Source organism: Homo sapiens, chromosome 9 (genome assembly GCF_000001405.40).
Source record: "Homo sapiens chromosome 9, GRCh38.p14 Primary Assembly".
Lineage (NCBI taxonomy): Eukaryota > Metazoa > Chordata > Mammalia > Primates > Hominidae > Homo > Homo sapiens.
The window spans coordinates 89,302,664-89,324,634 of NC_000009.12; the positions used below are offsets into that span (position 1 = coordinate 89,302,664).

The window sequence follows — 21,971 nt, forward strand, 5'->3', positions numbered from 1 at the left end:
TTCATGTCCTTTGTAGGGACATGGATGAAATTGGAAATCATCATTCTCAGTAAACTATCACAAGAACAAAAAACCAAACACTGCATATTCTCACTCATAGGTGGGAACTGAACAATGAGAACACATGGACACAGGAAGGGGAACATCACACTCTGGGGACTGTTGTGGGGTTGGGGGACGGGGGAGGGATAGCTTTAGGAGATATACCTAATGCTAAATGACGAGTTAATGGGTGCAGCACACCAGCATGGCACATGTATACATATGTAACTAACCTGCACATTGTGCACATGTACCCTAAAACATAAAGTATAATAATAATAAAAAAAAACAAAAAAAAACAAAGTTCCATCGAAGCCGATTTAAAAGGCCTATGTAGCAATTAATTATTCTTGATGCACTATATACAAATAATAAAGCCAAGTATAATAAAGCAAACCAGTCCTACCACGATTTGTCTTTTAATAAAAATGGGAAACTGAAGAGTGAAAATTATGTTTAGAAAACTATAGCACACTTGTTCTTAAATTCTAGTCTTGCCTAATGTTTTTCAATTTTTATTATTCTCCACAGTTTAAATTATATCCATTATAGAAATCAACTCTTGGATACATCGCACTTAAGTCAAAGCCTAAAGAGCTGAGAAAGCAACCTCTAACAGCCCAGAAAAACATCCTATCAACGTAAAAAAAATGAAATCTTAAGCCGAAAATCATAAAAGATAAGTAACTAAGTGAAAACTACTCATCTTAGTCGGTCTCATCCTTACCTCACCAAATACTTCTTGTCGTTTCTACCTCTCCTTTTAAGCCAAATATTAAAATCTTTTTTAATGGAAATTATACTACTATGCCACCCTTGCGGGAATTGCTTTACTCACTCTACTATTTGCAGTAGGACTATATACTGTAGCACCCTCAGGGTGGAATATCCGACAAAGAATCTCAATTACTGTAGCATTTTGCTTAATTATTATCCTCATAGCAGGAATAACAGTTATTAGTGAAAAATAACGCATGGGTCTTTCCAAACATGCACCTCTGCCTGTCATTAGGAAAGAAATGTTGCTTCTGTCTCAACTAATTGGGCCTAATAAAAAACTCTGCTGAAAAGCCTAGGACTAATGTTTTTACCCTGCCTAATTAACCTTTTTCAAAATATTTTAACCGACAGAATCATGGCCATTTCACAGACAACTACCCAAAAACATCTACAGACCGTGTTGCTCCTGCAGTCAATCCAAGACCAAAAAGCTCTCTGCCCACACCATCAGCAGGAAGTGGCCAGAAAGAACACATCACCCCTTGTCCTTTTATAACTATAGGGTCTGGAATGATAGAGCAGGAGCACTGCCATCAGGGACAAACACTGCCACTTTAAGTTCCAGCTCCCTTTCTAGCCTCATTCATTTCAAGAAAATCACTTCTAACTACAAGCAGCCAGAAAGAGCAGGCAGTAAAACACAGATAAGACAGCTCAGGCACAGAAGGAGGTTGGGGGAAAGTCTCTTGGGTAACTGCCAAACTTCACCCTCATACGATGGGCACCAGTAAAACAGTGGGCCTTAATAAGCACATTCCTTTCCCTTCAGGTGCACTAAGATAGGGAAGCTAAAAGTAGACAGTGGGGGGATACACCTGCAGCTGCAGAAAGATGTATGGGAACAGAAATACAACTCTCCCTCCCAGATAAGCACAACAAAGAGACACAGAAGCAGTCCAAGCCTCTGATAAATTCTCCCACCCTGAATCCTTACAAACTGTTAGTCTGTAAGAGGGTGCGGCTTCTGACCTAACTTGTTCATAAGTCTCTCCCAGGTTTGAAATAAACTTGTTGACTGTCAAGCCACCCTTTGTGTTTCTCTCCTCTTTCTCTAATTCTTACAGTAGGCACATGTTTAGCGGCTGGTGCTATTGATGGCCTAGCAACTTAGTTCTATGTGTCTTGCTGATGATTACATTCACAGGCAGCCTTTCAAGACAGGGAACGTAGAAACTGACACGTCTTTTAAAGACTAACCTCAGAAGTGGTGTAACATCACTTCAGCCACATTCCACTGGCCAAAGCAAGTCATAAAACCAGACCAAGGGTGAAGAAATACACTTCGCTTATCTATGGAAAGAGTAGTCAAGTTGCTTTGCAAACGAGCATGCATACTAGGATAGGAAGTATTTGTGGCAATAATTTCAGTTGTACCCCAAGGAGGCATGCAGTACTTGAAGCATCTAATTTTGCTACTGCAGATGGTAACAGAAACAAAGTGACTGTAGCCAATAGTTCTGGTAATGGACTCCTAATCTCTTTCAACTTCCTAAATTTATCAGCAGCTGCAAAGGTAAGTGCCTTAGCATGCACTAACTTCCCTCTTAGCCTCTCTCTACTAGCCACGTTAGTTTCTGAACTGGTAACGATAAACATTATTTGCATCTATGCTTTTTTAGACAACAGTAAAACTTTGCTTTCTTCTTATATATTTTGCATTGTTGTAGTGAATTTATTTTTATTCTTTTATCCAATACATTCTAAACAGTAACCCATTTTCTTCTTGGATCCAGTAAGGCTTTTGAGGTTGCCATTGTCAATCTATTCTTGCTGCTTTGTAGGTGATCTGCGATTTCTCCGTGGAAGCTTTTAAAATTTTCCTTTCTCTTTGATCTTCCTAAATTGCACTATAATCTTTCTGTGGTTATATATTTTTTATCTCTACTGTTCAGCACTCTATAAGCACTTTCAATCTAAAGTATTTTATCTTTCTTTAAAACTAGGGAATTCACGGCCATTATTTGTACAAGTATTTCCTCCCTTCTGTTTATTTTTTCTCTCCCTTTGGGACTCTTCTTTAATGACAGTTGTCACCTCTACTTCTAGCCTCCATGTCTTTATACTTCATATTTACCATCTCTTTATTCCTTCCTAATGCTTTCTGGGGCTGGTATTCAACATAATCTTCTAGTTCAATAATTAGCTCTTCATTTGTATCCACTGTGCATTCAGTTTACTTACTAAATTTTTTATTTCAGCTATTTAGTTTTCAATAATATTTCCATGTGACTTTTCCTTAAGACTGAAGTTACTAAGATCTTTTCAGCTCTTTTATATTTACAACTTATATTCATAGTTGTAAAAAAGTTTGGAATTAACTATAAAACTGAAAGGCTTTAAAGCATTTGATGAAATACAGTGTCTATTTTTGATCAAAATTCAGCAAGCTAGGAATAAAAGAATTTTTAAAATGAGAAAGGGCATCTACAATTACAAAGCTGCAGCGAACATCACACTGTGATATTGTTTCTATTCTATTAGTCACATGTAGTTTATAGGTACAGAGGTCAGACGTCCAAAATAGGTCTGACTAGGCTAAAATTATGTCAGCAGGACTGAGTTCACTCTGGAGACTCTAGGGAAGAAATCTGTTTCTTTTTCCCAGCTTCAAAAAGCCACCTGCAGCACTTGCCTCGTGGTCACATTACTCTGACTTCTGTTTTTATCCCAGCTCCTTTACAGACCCTCCTGTCTCCCTCCTCTAAGGCCCCCTGTGATAACATTTGACCACTCTGATAATCCAAGATAATCTCCCTATCTTAAAATCCTTAATTTAATCACATTTGTAAAGTCTCTTTTGCTGTGTAAGGTAACATTCACAGATACCAAAGATTAGGATATGAGCATTGCTGTGGTTTGAATGTGTCCCCCAAATTTCACGTGTTGGAAACTTAATCCCCAAATTTATATGTTTATGGTATTTGGAGGTGGGGCCTTTGGGAGGTAATTAAGATTAAAGTCATCAGGGTGGGGCTCCCATGACGGGACTGTGGCTTTATAAGAAGAGGAAGAGACACCTGAGCCGGCTGGCCCTTGCCCTCCCTCCATGGGATGCCCTCCACCATGTTATGATGCAGTAGAAGGCCTTCACCAGATGTTGCCCCTCTACCTTTGACTTCCCAGCCTCCAAAATGGTAAGAAATAAATTTCTTTTCTTTATAAATTACCCAGGCTGTGGTAGTCCTTTATACCAACATAAAATTGACTAAGACAGACATCTTTGGGGGCCATTTTTCTACCACATTCATCCTCCTACATTCACTTCCCACAACTTTCCTTTCCATGACTTTTACAATCTAAGCCAAACCTATTCAGCATTTTCTGTGTGTACCACACTTCCTCACACCTTTACAACTACCAATCCTTCCTTTGGAAAGGTGCTTGGCCCTCCTGGCTTTCTACCTGTGGAACTCTAAGAGACAGAACAGAATAGTGGGTAAGAGGCCTAACTCTGGAGTCAGACAGTTTGGGCTCAAATATGAGTCTGCCACTTACTAGGAATTTTTGGTAAATGGTTTTGTTTTGTTTTAACCTAGATCTAAATGCCAGATTGTAACAAATACAAGAAATAGAAAAACCAGGGAAACTGCACCACAAGGAAACAATTACACAGATCCAGAATGTGTAACGTTCCACAGGCAAAAATGACCTGGTTTGATGAACAGATGTTAAAAAAGGTGGCAGGGGTGTGTGTGGGGAGGGTGTCTATGTAGGTAGAGGTTGGGGGGTTGTTTAAAGAAGACTAAAAGAGACAATAACAAAATGTGGTCGGGTGCGGGGGCTCACGCCTGTAATCCCAGCACTTCGGGAGGCTGAGGCAGCCGGATCATCTGAGGCCGTGAGTTCAAGACCAGCCTGACCAATATGGAGAAACCCCATCTCTACTAAAAATACAAAATTAGCTGGGCATGGTGGAGGGCACCTGTAATCCCAGCTACTTGGGAAGCTAAGGCAGGAGAATTGCTTGAACACAGGAGGCAGAGGCTGCAGTGGGCAGATATCGCGCCATTGCACTCCAGCCTGGGCAACAAGAGTGAAACTCCATCTCAAAAAAAAAAAAAAAAAGAGAGACAATAACAAAATGCAAGATGTAGGCCCAAGTTTGAAAGCAGGGTTAAACAAACTATAAAAAGCTTTGGTGAGGCAGTCAGGGAAATGTGAGTCTAAAACAGCTATCAAAGAGTATTAAGGACGTCTAAGCGTAAGTATGATGTGGTTATGCATTTTTTAAAAAATTTTCCTGAGATGCACACCATAAACACAGAGATACACTGAAAAGTTTTATTTAGGAGTGAACTGACATATCTGAGATCTCTTCAGTAATATTCTAGAAAAAAAAAGTTAGAGAGGAACAGATGAAACATGATTGGCAAACGGTAATTGCTGAAGCTAAATGACTGGAACAAGTTGAGTATCCCTTACCCAAAACACTTGGGACCAGAAGTGTTTCAGGGTTTTTTGGAATCTGGAATATGGGCATTTTGTTAACCAGTTCAGTATCTCTAATAGGAAAATCTGAAATCTGAAGTGCTCCAATGAGCATATCCTTTGAGCTCATGTCAGTGTTGTTCAACGTTTTGGACTTTTGGAGCATTTCAGATTTTCAGATTAAAGATGCACAACCTGTACATGGGAGTTGATTCTATTATTCCATGTGTTTGAACTTTTCACAGTGCAGATGGTCCTTGACTTACAATGGTTCAACTTAAAATTTTTTTGACTAGTCAGGATGTAATCCCATTGTAAATTAAGGAGCATCTATACATTTATTTAAAAATATATCTCCCAGGAAGTTTTTTTCCCCCAGGTTCTGCCAGAAAGTAATTTCCTTGTCCATTTTCCTTAACAGTTTATTCACATTTTTGCCATCATAGTAATTATACCTAATTATTTACTCTTATTATACTGTGCCTAAAATTTACTTCTTATTGTGTGCTTATGTGCAAGGAACTCTGCTATGTGCTAGGCACTCCGTGGTGAACAAGACAGACATGGCCTCTACACTAGCTTCACAGAGTTGTTTTTTTTTTTTTTGAGACGGAGTCTCGCTCTGTCGCCCAGGCTGGAGTGCAGTGGCACAGTCTTGGCTCACTAACAGAGAGTATTTTATAGCGCAGATAGGGAGACAACCACCACCTAAGCAAACATGCAATTGCGACAGTGGGAGGGAAGCCCACTGGAGTCGGTGGCAAGGGCATAATGGGGAAATTGAAGAACTTTCTGTAGAGAAGTTGATTAAGGAAGGCCTTTCAGAAGATGAAATGCTTAATCTGAGACCTGAAGGATTCTATCATGTATGAACGAATGTTTGTGTCTGCTCCCAGCCACCAAATCATGCGTGGAAATTCCAGGCCGGGTGTTGTGGCTCATACCTGTAATTCTGTTACAGGAAAGGGGTCCAGTCCAGATCCCAAGGGAGAATTCTTGGATCTCGTGCAAGAAAGAATTCAGGGTGAGTCCACTGTGCAAAATGAAAGTAAGTTTATTAAGAAAGTAAAGGAATAAAAGGATGGCTACTCCATAGACAGAACAGCCGAGGGCTGCTGGTTGCCCATTTTTATAGTTATTTTTTGCTTATATGCTAAACGAGGGGTGTATTATTCATGCCTCCCCTTTTTAGACCATGTAGGGTAACTTCCTGATGTTGCCATGGCATTTCTAAACTGTCATGGCACTGGTGGGAGTGTAACAGTGAGGACCAAAGTCACTCTCTTCGCCATTTTGGTTTTGGTGGGTTTTGGCTGGCTCCTTTGCTGCAACCTGTTTCATCAACAAGGTCTTTATGACCTGTATTTTGTGCTGACCTCCCATTTCATCCTGTGACTTAGAATGCCTTAACTGTCTGGGAATGCAGCCCAGTAGGTTTTAGGCTCATCTTACCCAGCTCCTGTTTAAGATGAAGGTGCTCTGGTTCACTTGCCTCTGACGATCCCAGCACTTTGCGAGGCCAAGGCGGGCAGTTCACTTGAGGTCAGGAGTTCGAGACCAGCCTGGCCAAAATGATGAAAACCCGTTTCTACTAAAAATACAAAAACTAGCTGGGCCTGTAATCCCAGCTGCTCTGGAGGCTGAGGCAGAATGGCTTGAACCTGGGAGGGGGAGGTCGCAGTGAGCCAAGATCACACCACTGCACTCCAGCCTGAGCAGCAGAGTGAGACTGTCTCCAAAAAAAAAAAAGGGCGGGGGGTGGAATTCCAAACACCCTCTTCCCCCAAGAAGTGATTGTATTAGGAAGTTAGGAGGTGGGGCCTTCGGGAGGTAATCAAGATTAGATGGTCATGAGGGTGGGGCCCTCACCCATGGAGATTATAAATGTCCTTAGCCGGCCTGTCTCACTTGTTCAGAAACCGGAAAAGTCCGTGGTCTGCAGTGTGGAAAAGGGCACCCGGACCTCTTACTTCCAGCCTCTAGTCTGGAAACTTTGTCTAAGGTACCCCATCTACATTACTTAGTCACAGCCACCCTGAACCCACTAGCCTGTACTGCGCTGGAGCATTTCGCATAAAATGAAATTAACATAAAAATGACACGTGCTCGTTGTGGAAAAAATACCAAAAAGATCACTTTTAATTCTGTCATCTAAAAATAACCACCAGTTACATTTATAAATTTCTTCCAGTAACTTTTTTATATGAACATGTTTTTAAACTTGGGTCAATATTAAAAGACCAGAAGTTGTTAAACATCATTTTAAATCCCCTTATCCAGGAATTAGCATTGTTATTCTTGGCCGCAGCAGAATATTATTTTATTCCCTCAAGCTTTCCATGGCTTGGGTCTGCCCTGGTTTTGAACATTAGGTTAGGCTACAGAAAGCATTCTGGGTCTCTGGCCCATTTGTTTCTTTCTTTGTGGAGACGGGGTCTGGCTCTGTTGCTCAGGCCTGTCTGGAACTCCTGGGCTCAAGCGACACTCCACCTCGGCCTCCCGAGTGGCTGGGACCACTGGCGCCCGCCGCCACCGCGCCGGCTCCGGGCCTCTCTCTACGCGTGGCTCCGCAGGCTCCATTCTCCACACAGTCGTCTAGGGGGGCGCCAGGAGCCCCGCGACGGGCCAGGCCGGAAGCTCAGCAAGTGCACCAGGCGGCGAAACGGCCGGCTGCGCAGGGCAGCCCCGGACACAGCCACGCCGCGGCCGCCCGGCGCTCCCCCGACCCAGCCGACCACGAAGCCGCCCTCCCCCTCACACCGCAGAACCTTTCTGCCTTTTACTACTTTTCAAAGTGGACCTAGGCTCCTGGCTCGAGCCTGAGGGGATACAAGGGATCACGAGGAGCGCCATCACCGTGCAAGGTCGACAGCTTCCGCTCAAAGCCCTGTGGCCCACGCTTCCGGCCTCGACCGACTACGTCATCACCAAACCCCGTGATACCTCACTCCACCTTCAGGTCCTCCGTCCCAACGGTTCCGTGTCCTGGAACTTTCCACGTTCCTGCGCACGCGCTCTGCGGCCCTTAACGTCCCGACTTCGCCCTCCTCTGGCCACGCCCCTGCCCGTTAAGGGCCCTGCCACCCCCGTGACGTACCTATCTTCCCTCGGGCAACCTCGCAACAGATCTCTGATTGGCTGACCCAGGAAGCGGACTTTGCGAGGCGGCGGCGACGATAGGCTGGCAGCCGGCCGACTTCCGCAGAAGGTGATTGGTCGGCGCTGCTGTCCAATCGGCGGCGGGCTGTCGGATTCAAATCCGGATCGTTGGGACTGCGGTCGTTAGTCTCCGGCGAGTTGTTGCCTGGGCTGGACGTGGTTTTGTCTGCTGCGCCCGCTCTTCGCGCTCTCGTTTCATTTTCTGCAGCGCGCCAGCAGGATGGCCCACAAGCAGATCTACTACTCGGACAAGTACTTCGACGAACACTACGAGTACCGGTGGGCGCCTTTCTTAGACCCCGAGCCGGCTCCCTCAGCCGGGGCCCCCGCGGGCGGGGCGACCCAGGCATAGTAGGGTCGGGGGTGGGGGCCGGGGCCTGGGGGGCGGAGCCCGGGGCCGGAGGGCGAGGGCCGGGGTTTGGGGTCGCGGCCACCTGGCGCCCCGCGCAGTCGGACATGGTTGGGTGCCTGGCCGCGCCGGGCCGGTTGGGCCTTTGTTCGGTGTGCGCGGAGGGTGAGGGAAGAGTGCCCACCGGGCCGCATTTAGTACCTGGGTAGGAACCGGCGCAACTTGGGGGTCATGGGGTCCTCGGCGACGCGGAGTGACCATCCCGTCACTTTTTTCTCGGCCGTGGCCGAAGTAATTAGGCCGTTCAGTAGCTGGTCTCAGTTCCAGTTCTTTGAACCAGTCCAGGAAAACCCACCTGGTGCCGTCCTTTTTCCTTTAGCAACCGTGACACACTTTCCCTGTCGCTGACGGGGTGATGCAGCTTTTACTAGTTTGTGGTTTAGAATGGTCAAATGGTCATTTTCATCTGTTAACACAGAGGAACACTTTTCTTTTTCTTGTTTTTGAAGTGAGTGGTATAAGAATAAGCTTTGGAGGCGACCCCCCGAAAAATGAGCTTGATGGGGATTCGAAAATGTTTACTGGGTATGGTGATTTGGGCCATTATAGGTTAGCCGCAGTCATACAATTGAGGGTATTATTAAAGGAGTTTCATTTTAAGGCCGATTAAGAACTTGAGTGGACTTTGGGCATCATTTTCTGCTAGTATACACTGGCCAAATTTTGGGCTTTGAGAAACTTTTGCGTTTGAGTCCTGAAGCACCGTACTAGAACATGGTGGCTGTAATCGATCAGTAAAATTAGACAAATTTTAAATGTCCCTGTCCCCTTCCCCCCAATTAAAGTAGATTGGGGGAAAGCGAGTAGGGACATTTAAAATTTGTTGTCCTTACTGTATGCGGGACACTTCATTTAGGGCGTGGCTTCAGAAAACAGTCAACCCCTTTTTCTTAACTAGGTAGCGACTAGAACGCTGCGTTCTGGGATACTACCAAGATTTAGGGGAGATAAAGCCCATGCCATCGTTGGCCAAATTGTGACCTTGTTTTCTGTCTGCTGCCTTTGTAGGTTAGATTTCTCCGAATGCTATTTAAGGAAGAAAGAACAAAACAGTGGGTGGTTTCTCTTTTTCTCCCCCTCCCTAGTAGCATGGAAGTCTGTTTTCACATGAGGACTACTGAATATTTCTATGGGTAGTAGTAATTGCACCCTTTTGTATTCCTAGCTAGAAAAATAGCATGTTTTTCTGGCTGTAGGTAAATTTCAAGTAGATTGTGTTAACCTTATAGTAATAATAAACTATACTCGTGTAATATGCTGGCAGTGTTCAATTATGCGATGTTAATCAAGAGCCCTATTGAGGATATCCAATAATGAACACAATGTAAACCGTAATAATCTTACTAAAACCTAGAAAATTATTCTGAAACACATCTGGTGCCAAGTGTTTAGGATAAGGATTTAAGGGTCGGTACAAGTTTCTTTTAGGGTATAATATTGAAAATAAATGAAGCTATTTCTCAGACTTCTTTCTGATGGCAGTAGGTCGATTTTTTAGTTTTAATATACTCAAATGATTTGTGTGTGGTAATGTATAGAAGAAAGTTTACATATCTGAAGTGATGTATTTTAATCCAATAAAAATTAGAGCTGGTATTAATTGGCCAAGCCAGTAACCTTTATGAAACAGGATAGTAATTTCCACACATAATTTTAAAGGGGAAACTAGTAATAATATAGCACTAAGGCATGAGTCTAGGGTGGTTTGTATTAATATGTAATGGTGCAGCATGCAATGTAAATTTCAAAGGCTAGTATTTATTTTTCCCAGTGTGCAGTTATCTCTATCTTTCTTTGATTTTTCTTAATTACAAACTTAATTTCCTAGTCCTTTTACGTGAGGGTCTTAATGTTTCTAAGGGCATAACAGTGGGTGCCCCCACCCCCACATCATGGAAGTCTGTTTTCACAAGAGAAAAACTGTTAATTTTTCTGGGCAGCCTTACAAATTAGTAATACTTGCACTATTTTGCATTTCAACTGAAATAAACGTTAGATTTTGGAAATAATTTTCCTTACATGTAGTTAGTTTGAAATCTCTGTGTGGCAAAATACAGGTAGAATCCTCATATGGGGTTGATGCTACTTAAACATTTTTCCTTTATAAAGAAACCCTGATGGAGGAGAGCCTGTTTCCGTGTTTATGGAGAAGGGTGGTAACTTCTATCTAAATAACTTGTTGGTAGATTTATGTACTCTGTAAGTTTGATAGAAAAGGTACAAAAGCACTACATTTCTCTTTGAGAATAATCAACAAGATAGAACGTAGAAATAAGATAACAGATTATTTGAAGTTAGATGTTAAAGCAGCATTTCAAGAATGTGGGTGATAACTGGTAAGAATTACAAAGAATCACTATATAGTTCACTGGAATTGATGAAAACTCTACAAATTATGGTAGTAAGCTATGACTTGGTGGCCTTAAGGCAATCTAACAACACAGTAGAATTTTTCTGAGGCTCACTTTGCCCTGCAAATAAATTGGTACTTAACCACAGACTAAAATTTAAGTTGATGACAGCTGGGTGCTTATAGCGGGTTAGGGATTCAGTTTACTGTGTCTCAGAAAGTGACCAGATTGCACCTCATTCATCCCCAGCCAGCTGACTCACAGACAGATATCTTATACTGGTTAAAAATTTGGGTTGGTGGTTATGGATGGTTCAGTATAAAACTGTTGCTACTACTGCAGGTGGTAAACATGGAGCTGAGAATTGTGACTTTCATAAAGTCCTTTTTATGGTAATTGAGTAAAAATTCTTACTCAATTTGGGGAAAGAGATTTGTTAGGCAAATCTTTGATAGAATGCTTTGGGATACTGTTAATGATACAGATTTGTTTTTGAGAATCTCGTAAGGCTACAATTATACATATTGATGGTTTAACTTTGAAGGTTATTCCATGCTTGCCTAAGAAACTGAACAATGTAAGTTTTGGATATAGGTCAGTAAATTAACTGGAAAACGGTGAGGTTGCACACAATGTGTATGTACAGTTAGTGGTTTTCTGTTTTTAATTTTGAACAAAGTACTTGAAGTATAAAGCAACTTCTGGAGCATACAAGGACTAGTAGCTACTACAAAGCTAGTGTTGAGTAAGAGGAAACCCAAATTAACTGTAACTTAGATTTTTTCGTTACATAAAAGTCTAATAATCTGGGGCAGGGATAACAGCTTTACAGTCAAGGACTAGGCTGGGTCCTTACCTCTTGTTGCTTTACCGTTCTCAATTTACAGTTGCTTCTATGGTCCTAGATTCCTGCTCTGGCTCCCTGATCATATTAATGTGCATTCAACAAGAAGGAGAAAAAGAGTTCAGCATGTTCTTTCCCTTTGAGAACACTTTTCATAATAAGTTACACATTTTCTTATATCTTGTTGGCTTATGATTTGGAGGCTGGTAACCATATGTTCAACTTATATTTTGGGGTTCTCTTCCTGAAGAAGATTAAGGCAACTGGTAAGCATTCTGTGATAAGAGAAAAAGATTAATCCTATGGAAAATGCTTTCTGCTTTTGGATTGTGCACTCTTAGCTCCCTAATTTGAACATAGGCCATCATATCAGAATTAAAGGTAGTAGATTGCAGTTCTCAATATTAAAGCAACAGAGTTCCTTAAGGTACATGTATAAAGCGACAGTTGTAGAAAAGGCACTGGACTAACACTTGGCTGTATCTTGTAACAGGCATGTTATGTTACCCAGAGAACTTTCCAAACAAGTACCTAAAACTCATCTGATGTCTGAAGAGGAGTGGAGGAGACTTGGTGTCCAACAGAGTCTAGGCTGGGTTCATTACATGATTCATGAGCCAGGTAAGCTATGCTATGTTATAGTAAAGCAGTAATTGTTGAAATATTGGTGGTTATGGTTGTCAAAATTTTAAAAATATCATTGACATCAAATGATATCTGAAAGTAACTGTTCTGATAAGTTTTTTTTTTTAATGACTAATTTCTTGACTCTGGAGAGAGTTCCAATTTTATGGTAAATAAAATACCACAGCAGTGAAAGTAACACATTATTCTACTTGGAAAATAATGTAAGAAGTAAAAAAAAAAAAAAAAAAATGTATTTTAAAATCTGTATCATTGTTAACAGTATCCCAAAGCATTTTATCATAAGTATATCCTAAGACAAGTGTTCTTATCTATGTGTGGAAATTGATTTAATTTAAAGTGATTCTTCAGCCCTCTGAAAGGATATATACCACATGAAGTTTAAATGAGGTAATAGCATATGAACTCAACTGTGCTTATGGGTACCTTATGCTATTATGTGGTATTAACCAAAAGTTTTTCAGGTGTTAAATAGTAAACTCTACTAAAACTTTGTGGGTTTTCTAGACTAAAACAGTGTGGGTTAAATTTTATATTTGGATTATCAGTAAATCTAACAGCATTTATAATGCTTTGAACAAAATTTGAAGACATACTATAGAAGCTGAAGTAGGTGGAATTAAAACTATCTTCTACTCTGCTGTTAAAGAAAAGCATTGCATCGAAAACTCTAAAAGGACTCATCACTTTCTTGGGATTGAGATACGTAATCCTATTAGAATTCAGTCCAGATAATACAAAAGCAACTGAAGAACTTAAGTGTAGATTTCTGTGCCCCACCTATTGAAACAGAATCTATGGGGATGAGCATTAGTATGAGATCCTGTAGGTGATTTGAAGGAGGTGTTTTTCCCTATAAAGAGGTAATCTTTTTACTTTTAATCTATTTACTGTAGACAGTAACTGTGAAAAAAAAATCATTTTGGATACCTCAAACCAATTAATAGTGGACTTAGTTTATTTTATTCTGGCTTAGTTGAGAATACTTTTGAATTTCTGTTGAGTATATGAAAATCATATTAAAATGATTCAAAACATTTTCTTTCCACAGAACCACATATTCTTCTCTTTAGACGACCTCTTCCAAAAGATCAACAAAAATGAAGTTTATCTGGGGATCGTCAAATCTTTTTCAAATTTAATGTATATGTGTATATAAGGTAGTATTCAGTGAATACTTGAGAAATGTACAAATCTTTCATCCATACCTGTGCATGAGCTGTATTCTTCACAGCAACAGAGCTCAGTTAAATGCAACTGCAAGTAGGTTACTGTAAGATGTTTAAGATAAAAGTTCTTCCAGTCAGTTTTTCTCTTAAGTGCCTGTTTGAGTTTACTGAAACAGTTTACTTTTGTTCAATAAAGTTTGTATGTTGCATTTATCACTGTTTCAAGTTTTTGAGGTATATTTTCTTAATTTGTGACTATTGAAATTTGTGACTATTGAAATTGATTTCAGTGTTATAGTTTTAGCTCTGAGGAAGTTAACTTACCTTAAAGATGATGTTAAATGAGTTTAAAATAGTGCGGTATGATCTGGATACCATTTAATTCACTTAATGAAGAAATTAATTACCAGGGATATGTTTAAACTAAAGCCAAAGTAGATTTTACCTCTTGAATTCCTGGAGAATTGTCTAGAACAGGAAAGCCCAAATTAATACTATCTGGGCTACTTCACTGGCCACTGGTGGTCTTGGGAGAAACCTCTTTTTTATCCTCTTCTACATTTCCAAAGTAGGGATAATGTTTCCTATAAAGTATCACCACATTTTTAAAAGTTCAAAAACACTGTAAAACACCTTTGCCTTTTTAGCTGCTAGGAAAGTGTTTTGGAGTTATTCTAATTAATTGCTATGCTATAGAAACATCTTAAATGAGCAGCCAGCATACATCAGGTCCATTGGTTAAGAAAGGGTGTCTTTACACATGAGGGCAATAAATTTTGAAGGTTGTGATTAGCAGCATCCTAAAATCTACTGCCACTACCATAGGTTGTGTCCAGGGTAACCAACAGAAACATGACAAAATCAAGTAAACTTCATTACACTTCCGGGTAGACCCAATAGTGCTGAAAGGAAGGCGACAGCTACCCCTAAACTTCCAGCATAAATTCCTGCCAGACCAGACCCTAAGGATCACTTCTGCTAGAGGCTGTGTAGTGAACTGAGACCCACCAGGACAGAAATCTGAAAAAACTGGAGCTGCACCTGCCTTACTTGCTTGAAATACTTCGTATTCAATGGTAGAGTTAACGTCTGTGCAAGGGACAGAGGAAACCTACAATTTGCCTCAACCTAATCCCCATTCCTCAAATAGCCTGTTTTGCTGACATTTTCTGTTCCTTAAATCCACTTGCACTTTCCTCCAAGCCTTTGAGTGAGAGGAAAGTTCCTCCTCCATCTATTGAAATCCACTCTGCATTCTTCCCTGTACTTTTGGTCAACCTCCTATCCCTGCCGCACTTTATACATTTCTCTCAATATTTAACGAATTTGCTCTGTGTAGAACTTTTTTTTTCTCGTGAAAATTATACTATTCCATCTCTTGACCATATCTTAGCACTTTTTTTAATTTTTGAAAGAAACCGAGCGATTTTTAAATTATTTTCTGTGGCTACTTCCAAACTTAAGGTTTCTGGAAATTTAGGATACCATCAAGAGTCTTGTAGGCTTTCCAGGTTTGTAGGACCTACAGGGTATGCAATTCCTGTAAGTCACCAATCTTGGGGAAATTTTAGGGAAATGCAGTGGCGGGGGTGAGAGTAATCTCGGCCTCCTCAGTTTCCTTATTAGTAAATCTTTCTCTTCAGGTGACTGCTCAAAGGTCACCTCAGCGAGAGGCCTTTCCAGACTACCCCATCCCGTCCTAACGCTAGACTCGTGAGGCCCAGGGGAGAAAAGTAAATCACGGCCTAACTCTTGTTTATAGTCGCTACTGCCTTGGTGGAGACTATCTCCGATATCCCAGCACTAAAAGGCAGATCCAAGACTCCCGCAAGCTACGGTGGGTCCCCAGCCCAGAGGACTCCTGGGGGTCCCCATTTTCCGCAAGCGCCCCACTGCCTCCACGTGCTGCCCGCGCAGGTCCAGTGCCGCCGCCGCGTACTTCCGGCCGGAAGAAAGGGCGGGCTCTGTCGCTTTGCTGTGACGCACTTCCTGGCGTCGCCTGCGGGGGCGGAAACGCTTTGTCTGTCCGGCAAGCCGACGGCCCGCTGCTGGCCTCCGTGACGCGGCCTCCTCCGCGCCTCGCGGCATGGCGTCGGAGGGGCCGCGGGAGCCCGAAAGCGAGGTAAGGGCCGACGGGGGCTCTCTCGGCAGCCTCAGTCCGTCCGCCTGCCTCGCACTGGGGGCTCGGCCGGGCGGTGACGGGGCTGGTCCAGCGGGCGTGGGTCGGATGCTGGTGACGGCACGGGAGCGCCCTACCGGGTGGCCGCGATCTTCGCGCCCCGCCTCGGGTCCGCCTTGGGGTGGCGGTCAGCGGCTACAGACCCCGCCCACAGTTAGCGCCGCGTCTGTGGTGCGATGTCACCCAGCGCAGTGACTGCGGCCCAGCCCGGCGCTCCCCGCAGTCGGGGCGGGGGGACTCTGGCGAGCTTCCCGCGCTCTTGGGAACGGATAGATTGTTTTAAAGGATCCTGCGTTTTTCTGAACGTCATTCTCCGCTCTACGTACTCAGCATTACCACTAGATGGAGCCCTGGCGATCGCTTGCATCATTTTTAGACCCATAAAATTCTCGGTGAAAGTAAATCTCTTACTACGTCACTAAAAACTAAAGAAAGAAATCTTAGTGAATTGAAATTTCAAAGGCTCGTGGTGATAATATTTTCTAGCAAAGCAAGGTTTGGTATTTCAATAAAGCAAGACTTAGTGGTTCATGAGTAAAATGCATATGCTTTTGTGCAACTTTTTCAAGAAAATGTAATGGAAATAAACGTCTGCAGTGTGTTTTGGGTGCTGTAGTTAAACAGTCCACGTGTATTTGACTGCAGTAGTTGTACTGTGTGCAGTTCTATTATTTCTAAGTGAATCTGTGGTAAAAACACCCTTATTCCAAGATCTAAACTATATAATCTGTGTTGTTTTATTTCCACTTGAATTCGTTGTCATTTTTCACTTTTAATGTTTGAACTACTGCCTTTTCTACAAAAAAAAAAGCATTGGGGAGAAATCGTTAGCAAGCAGGTTCTTGTCTTTACGAGGCAGAAGTTTTTAAACAACATCGGGAACATTTCTGGGGCTATTAGGAACACCTCTTGGGTCTTTTTGTTTGTTTATATTTGCTTGATCTCTGAATGTTTGTGGCCAAAACCTCATATTTTTCCTCAGGGCATCAAGTTATCAGCAGATGTCAAACCATTTGTCCCCAGATTTGCCGGGCTCAATGTGGCATGGTTAGAGTCCTCAGAAGCATGTGTCTTCCCCAGCTCTGCAGCCACATACTATCCGTTTGTTCAGGAACCACCAGTGACAGAGTATGTATCTTTCTAAAAGTCTTACCTAGGGGCTTACATTTTGGATTTAATGGTGATTAGACTTTCAAATACTCAGCAGTTACTGCACTAAAGTTCTGCAGATGATGAGAGAATGCTCTTCAACCAAGAAGAGTCTGAGCCAGTAGCACAACTTAACTGTATCCTGTGCCAAAAACAGAAGCTTTAACTCCCCTTTTTTTTCTTCATACTCATTGTTATTTTCGGCAAAGAAATAGTAGAGACTGCATTGCATTTGTTAATAAGAAATGCAGTTTCAGGCCAGGCGCTGTGGCTCACGCCTGTAATCCCAGCACTTTGGGAGGCCGAGGTGGGTGGATCACCTGAGGTCAGGAGTTCAAGACCAGTGTGACCAACATGGTGAAACTCCGTCTCCACAAAAATACAAAAATTAATCAGGTATGGTGGCGGACACCTGTAATCCCAGGTATTCGGGAGACTGGGGCAGCAGAATCCTTTGAACCTGGGAGGCAGAGGTTGCAGTGGGCCAAGATAGCACCACTACACTCAAGCCTGGCTGACAGAGTGAGACTCTGTCTCAAAAAAAAAAAAAAAAAAAAAAAAATCCCGTTTCAAGGTTCATTTGTTCATATGGTTTAAAAATATATCATATATCTAATGGGAGATGAAATGTGGAGGGAAGGGCAAAGAAAGGACCAAATAAACGTACTCCTCCTTTTTAAGGTTAACATTTTAAAATCTTGTTGAGCGAAGGGGAGGGGACTAGCAACCATAGCTGCCTCTGTGTGGATAATTTTTTGGAAATTGTTGACTTTTGCTTTCCACCTTTTTACTTTATATCTGTTAATATGGAGATGAATTTTACACATTTCAGGCTTAAGTTCTTCTAAATTTGAGTTGAAAGAAGGCTTACATTTTTCCTTACATTTTCTTTTTCCTTCTCAGGATTCATTCTCTAGGTTTACAAAATGGCTTCCTCTTGCAGCTGAATTTAGACAAAAAAAGTATTAATCTTTCACATAATTGTGTAGATTTATTTGTAGATCTGTTTTTAAGATTTGCATCAGGTGTAGTTCTAATCTAAGAATCCTAATGCTTTTTTCTTCTTTGATATGATTCTAACTTGTTTCCTTTTATTTGTGCCTGCATGATGTAATTGAAAATAGTTTGTACTGTATATAAATTCTAGAATTATATTTGCAAGAATGAGAATTGTAATGAATAAGAAAATGATTGAGTTGTCTTTTGTGTTTAGGAAATACTGAAAGTTGTATTTTTTTGACGAAAGTTGAAACACTACCTTTATATGCTGGAATTTGGTCTTTGGTAGGAATACCCTATTTTTCCACTGTATTTCATCCACTGTAAAGGGGAGTTTGGCATGGGTCTCACTTGAGTTGTTCCCTACCTTGAGTGTCTCACATAACAAAATACAAAAATATATCTCAGTGACAAGAGCTCAAAGCCATCTGCTAGGTGGTATTTAGTTACTCAAAATAGTGGTGGAAAACATTCACATGGCTAAAGGAACATTTTGGCAGTAACATGAGTGGAGACTAATCAGAGACTCAAGAATGGGCAGTGCTGAATTTAAAAATTAGTTTTCTTGGCCGGGTGTGGTGGCTCATGCCTGTAATCCCAGCACTTTGGGAGGCCAAGGCGGGTGGATCACGAGGTCAGGAGTTCAAGACGAGCCTGACCAACATGGTGAAACCCCATCTCTACTACAGAAATACAAAAATTAGCCGGGTGTGGTGGCAGGTGCCTGTAATCCCAGTTACTCGGGAGGCTGAGGTAGAGAATTGCTTGAACCCAGGAGATGGAGGTTGCAGTGAGCCAAGACTGCGCCACTGCACTTCAGCCTGGGCAACAGAACAAGACTCTCTCTCAAAAAAAAAAAAATAGTTTTCTTAACTCTTCTTTTTTAGCTTTGGTTTATGACCAAGGAAAAGTATTCACGCCTGGCAAGAAAACAAGGATAAGGAAGGCATTAAGTTGAAGAGGAAGAGTTAGAAAGGAAAAGATCCTTTAAAGTGGGGATGAAATAATGAGACTTCACATGGTTGAGAATTGATTATCTGAGCAGTTCTAATATAGATTAAAAATTGCATTGCCATAGTCAGATTACATGTAAATGGAGATCTCTTGCTGCTGTGACAAAAGGAATAGAAGTTTCTGAAACAACTATTTCCTCCTTCTTACTTGTTCAACTACATAGCATCCTAAGTCAACTTTGTATGTCCCCTTCCCTCATCTTTCCTTAAAGAAGGTATAGTAACCTTTTACAGAATTTGTCCTCCTCCAGTACCTTTCACAGTGCACTCAAAGATGCTCATTTATTCATTTGGAATTAATTATTGAAAGTCTTCCATAGTTTTGAAGTGATGGAGATGAAAATGAACATACCAGACTCTTCCATATTTATGTTATAGGACAAGACAAAGAAATTAGAAGTAGTCTGATAGATAACATTTGCCATGTTTGGAAAATACTGATTATTTACTGATGTAATGAACAAATTTGCCTATGCAAACAAAATAAGTTTCTTCCAAGTAATGTCCATTGTCATGTTACATCCTTTGTGAAAAATCCTGTGCAACCTGTGTATGAGGATGTGTGCCTTTTGTTTGGGTATTATTGTATACTTCCACTTCTTTCATAGTTACTACAATCCATGAGGTGGCAGGCAGATGTAATGTTATTTTGCACATGGGAAACTGAAGCTAGGAATGTTTGTTCATGCTAATTCAAATAGGTAGCACCAGAACCAGAATTAACGTGCTATTCTTCAAAATTGCTGCTGCTATTGACAAGAGGTAGTTGAGCATTTTCACCATCTGCCAATATACTGTGAAAATTTTAGTACCAATTGATGCTTTTGAGTTAAAGCAGATCAGCTATGAGAAGAACTAGTGGTATACAACATTGTACAGCTGAGCACGTGGCTCGGTGGGTGGAGGAGAAACTGCATCCCCTTTGGGTCGTTGCCTGACTGAAGGGACCATGTGCATGATATGTTTGGGAGATAGTAGAGGAATAAAGTGATAATTTTGGGGGGAAGCTGTCAGTAGATTGGAAGCCTGCATAGTACAGCTGAAAAGTTTTAGGTTTGCTGGGTAGGCAATAGGGAACTTTTGGTAGTGTCTTAAATGGGGTCATTGTAATCACTCCTAAATTTTGGAAAGATTTTTAAAGAAGAGGGTCTTGAAGGCTTTGACCAGGTTCTAGGCACTGGAAATAGTAAAGAAACTACATGAGAGAACTGTTGAAATAAAAAAGAGCCCCATGATTGTCCGTACAGGTTTTGGTGGGAAAGATGTTACAAAAATATTCGGTTGAATACATGGAAATAATTGTAGGATCATACATGAGAACAGAAGTTGTAAATGGGGCTGTTTTGGGGAATGGATGTTAAATTTGGGATTTATACGTGCTGAATTGGGAAAAAGTGAAATAGTAAGTGGAAATGACCTGAAAGTTGGAGATGGAGGCCTGGACTAGGGAAGGTGCTGGATTGTTTATATTTATGTCAAGTCCTAAGCAGAAAGATAAGAGGTTCTGACCCAGAATGTGTCAGATGGGTGAGATAAGGAGGGTGTAGAGGAGACTGCACTAGGGAAAGAGACAGAGATAGAGCCTTGGAGGGCAGGTGAGAGCCAGGCGAGCAAAGTCCAGGCCAGGGAGCTTTTCAAGTCATGTGATGGTCAAGCCAGACCCAACGGGTGCCTGGAGGGAGAGGCAAGAAGGAGGTCCTGGGAGACCTGGAAGCCGTTGGTGGGAAAGGGGCAAAGGGAAGTGGAGCCAGGAGACCAGCAGGTATTGCACAATTACTCAGACAGTTTGATTTTAGTATGGATGGGGTAGCTTAGGACAGTGAATGAGAAACAGGTGTGTTACTGTGGGTTTAGGGTCATCTGGGCCACTCCTGGCATCTGGAATTTCCCAGACATGCCATTTGAAGCCACGCCAGATGCTGTGAGTTACTGCTTTGATGTTTTGTATTTTGTGTTGTTTTCTGCATGTAATTGTGTTTGCACTGGATGGAAATGGAAAATACCAACTTTCCAGAGGAGGAAGGACCAGTGAGGGGACAGAAACCCAAATGACTTACCCAGAATAGAAAACTGGATTGTGATTGAGCTAGGACCCCAACCAAGGTCTCCTGACTCCTGGATGAAAATTTCCTGGATGACAGCAGCCGTCAAAACCAATGGAACCTGTCCCTGCTTTCCTTTTTAGCTACATTTCATTTGTCTGTTCATTTATCTATTTATTGGACTTGGGACAGTCTTTTTCACATTTTTTTTTCTGTCAACTCATCTTTTATGAAGAACAGATTATCCACCTTCAGTGACACTTGCCCCCCACTAGCTTTTCTCAACTACAAACAAAATACAGCACAGAATTCACAGGAACATGTAGGCAGTGGGATGAAGCTTTGAGCCTCTTTTCTACAAAGAGCTAGTCCTCAGTGCTGTATGTTTGGAGCAGTGCTAGGCCAGTTGTTTTGTTGGACAGACAAAGGTCAGTAAAAAGGGGTTTATTTGATTTTTAATTAGGAATATTTCATGTTAAAGTTACTTACCTGTAAGTAAAAGATCTTAGAAAATCTAAGTTAACATATCATGAAATAGTAAACAGTGAGATGAGAGAATATATGATTAAGTACTGGATAGAAGTGAAAGCAGTAAACGTTATTATATTATAGGTAGAGCCTGTAGTCTCCCTTTCTTATTCAGTGTAGTCTGTTACTTGCAGCGCATTAGAAATATGATTTCTAGTAAGCGGTGCTTATGCTCATATCTCCTGACAGCGTAGCAGTTTGAAGGTCTTAAAGGGTGTGTCATGACTAGGTTTG

General features: G+C 41.7%; 2 protein-coding genes, 1 long non-coding RNA gene and 1 other non-coding gene across 40 annotated transcripts in view, besides 6 other annotated features; 3 read left to right on the plus strand and 1 right to left on the minus strand.

The window, feature by feature from the left end:
• The window catches only part of LOC105376136 (uncharacterized), a 30,466-nt gene extending 22,217 nt beyond the window's left edge, over window positions 1–8,249 (minus strand). The window contains exons 1-2 of one of the 2 annotated variants that reach the window (XR_930101.4): window positions 6,703–8,139; window positions 6,195–6,283 (exon numbers count right to left, since the gene is read on the minus strand). This is a non-coding gene — a long non-coding RNA (uncharacterized LOC105376136). Of the gene's footprint in view, window positions 1–6,194; window positions 6,284–6,702; window positions 8,140–8,193 lie in introns of those variants that run through there. The other variant, XR_930100.4, reaches the window with a different exon arrangement.
• Window positions 2,158–2,417: a silencer, noted in NCBI's record as "silent region_20005". NCBI's record gives its function as "represses an Ori minimal core promoter by ATAC-STARR-seq in GM12878 lymphoblastoid cells {active_cell/tissue: GM12878}" and the evidence as "EXISTENCE:reporter gene assay evidence [ECO:0000049][PMID:35858748]".
• Window positions 7,838–8,067: a silencer, noted in NCBI's record as "silent region_20006". NCBI's record gives its function as "represses an Ori minimal core promoter by ATAC-STARR-seq in GM12878 lymphoblastoid cells {active_cell/tissue: GM12878}" and the evidence as "EXISTENCE:reporter gene assay evidence [ECO:0000049][PMID:35858748]".
• Window positions 8,078–8,367: an enhancer, noted in NCBI's record as "active region_28527". NCBI's record gives its function as "activates an Ori minimal core promoter by ATAC-STARR-seq in GM12878 lymphoblastoid cells {active_cell/tissue: GM12878}" and the evidence as "EXISTENCE:reporter gene assay evidence [ECO:0000049][PMID:35858748]".
• Window positions 8,532–14,040, plus strand: CKS2 (CDC28 protein kinase regulatory subunit 2). Its single transcript, NM_001827.3, has 3 exons — window positions 8,532–8,688; window positions 12,507–12,634; window positions 13,710–14,040. The coding sequence occupies exons 1-3, from the start codon at window positions 8,630–8,632 to the stop codon at window positions 13,760–13,762; spliced, it is 240 nt and encodes a 79-aa protein (NP_001818.1). The 5' UTR covers window positions 8,532–8,629; the 3' UTR covers window positions 13,763–14,040.
• Window positions 9,038–9,087: an enhancer, noted in NCBI's record as "active region_28528". NCBI's record gives its function as "activates an Ori minimal core promoter by ATAC-STARR-seq in GM12878 lymphoblastoid cells {active_cell/tissue: GM12878}" and the evidence as "EXISTENCE:reporter gene assay evidence [ECO:0000049][PMID:35858748]".
• On the plus strand, window positions 9,562–9,643 carry MIR3153 (microRNA 3153). Its single transcript, NR_036108.1, has one exon. It is a non-coding gene; the product is annotated as a microRNA 3153 (primary transcript).
• Window positions 15,487–15,706: an enhancer, noted in NCBI's record as "active region_28529". NCBI's record gives its function as "activates an Ori minimal core promoter by ATAC-STARR-seq in GM12878 lymphoblastoid cells {active_cell/tissue: GM12878}" and the evidence as "EXISTENCE:reporter gene assay evidence [ECO:0000049][PMID:35858748]".
• SECISBP2 (SECIS binding protein 2) overlaps window positions 15,837–21,971 on the plus strand; it is a 48,618-nt gene continuing 42,483 nt past the window's right edge. For 17 of the 36 annotated variants that reach the window (XR_007061351.1, XR_007061350.1, XR_007061352.1 and 14 more), the window contains exons 1-2: window positions 15,837–15,949; window positions 16,989–17,134. Coding sequence is in view for 13 of the 36 variants with exons in the window: in XM_047423856.1 (XP_047279812.1) it covers window positions 15,914–15,949; window positions 16,989–17,134 (182 nt within the window). In the remaining 23 variants the exon portion in view is untranslated. Of the gene's footprint in view, window positions 15,950–16,187; window positions 16,405–16,988; window positions 17,135–21,971 lie in introns of those variants that run through there. The other 19 variants (XR_007061347.1, XR_929840.2, XR_007061346.1 and 16 more) reach the window with 3 other exon arrangements.
• Window positions 15,877–16,196: a silencer, noted in NCBI's record as "silent region_20007". NCBI's record gives its function as "represses an Ori minimal core promoter by ATAC-STARR-seq in GM12878 lymphoblastoid cells {active_cell/tissue: GM12878}" and the evidence as "EXISTENCE:reporter gene assay evidence [ECO:0000049][PMID:35858748]".

Coding starts and splice junctions, on each gene's coding strand:
- CKS2 (NM_001827.3), top strand. CDS start 8,630: ATGGCCCACAAGCAGATCTACTACTCGGACAAGTACTTCGACGAACAC. Junction 8,689..12,506: donor GACGAACACTACGAGTACCG/GTGGGCGCCTTT, acceptor ATCTTGTAACAG/GCATGTTATGTTACCCAGAG. Junction 12,635..13,709: donor TTACATGATTCATGAGCCAG/GTAAGCTATGCT, acceptor TTCTTTCCACAG/AACCACATATTCTTCTCTTT.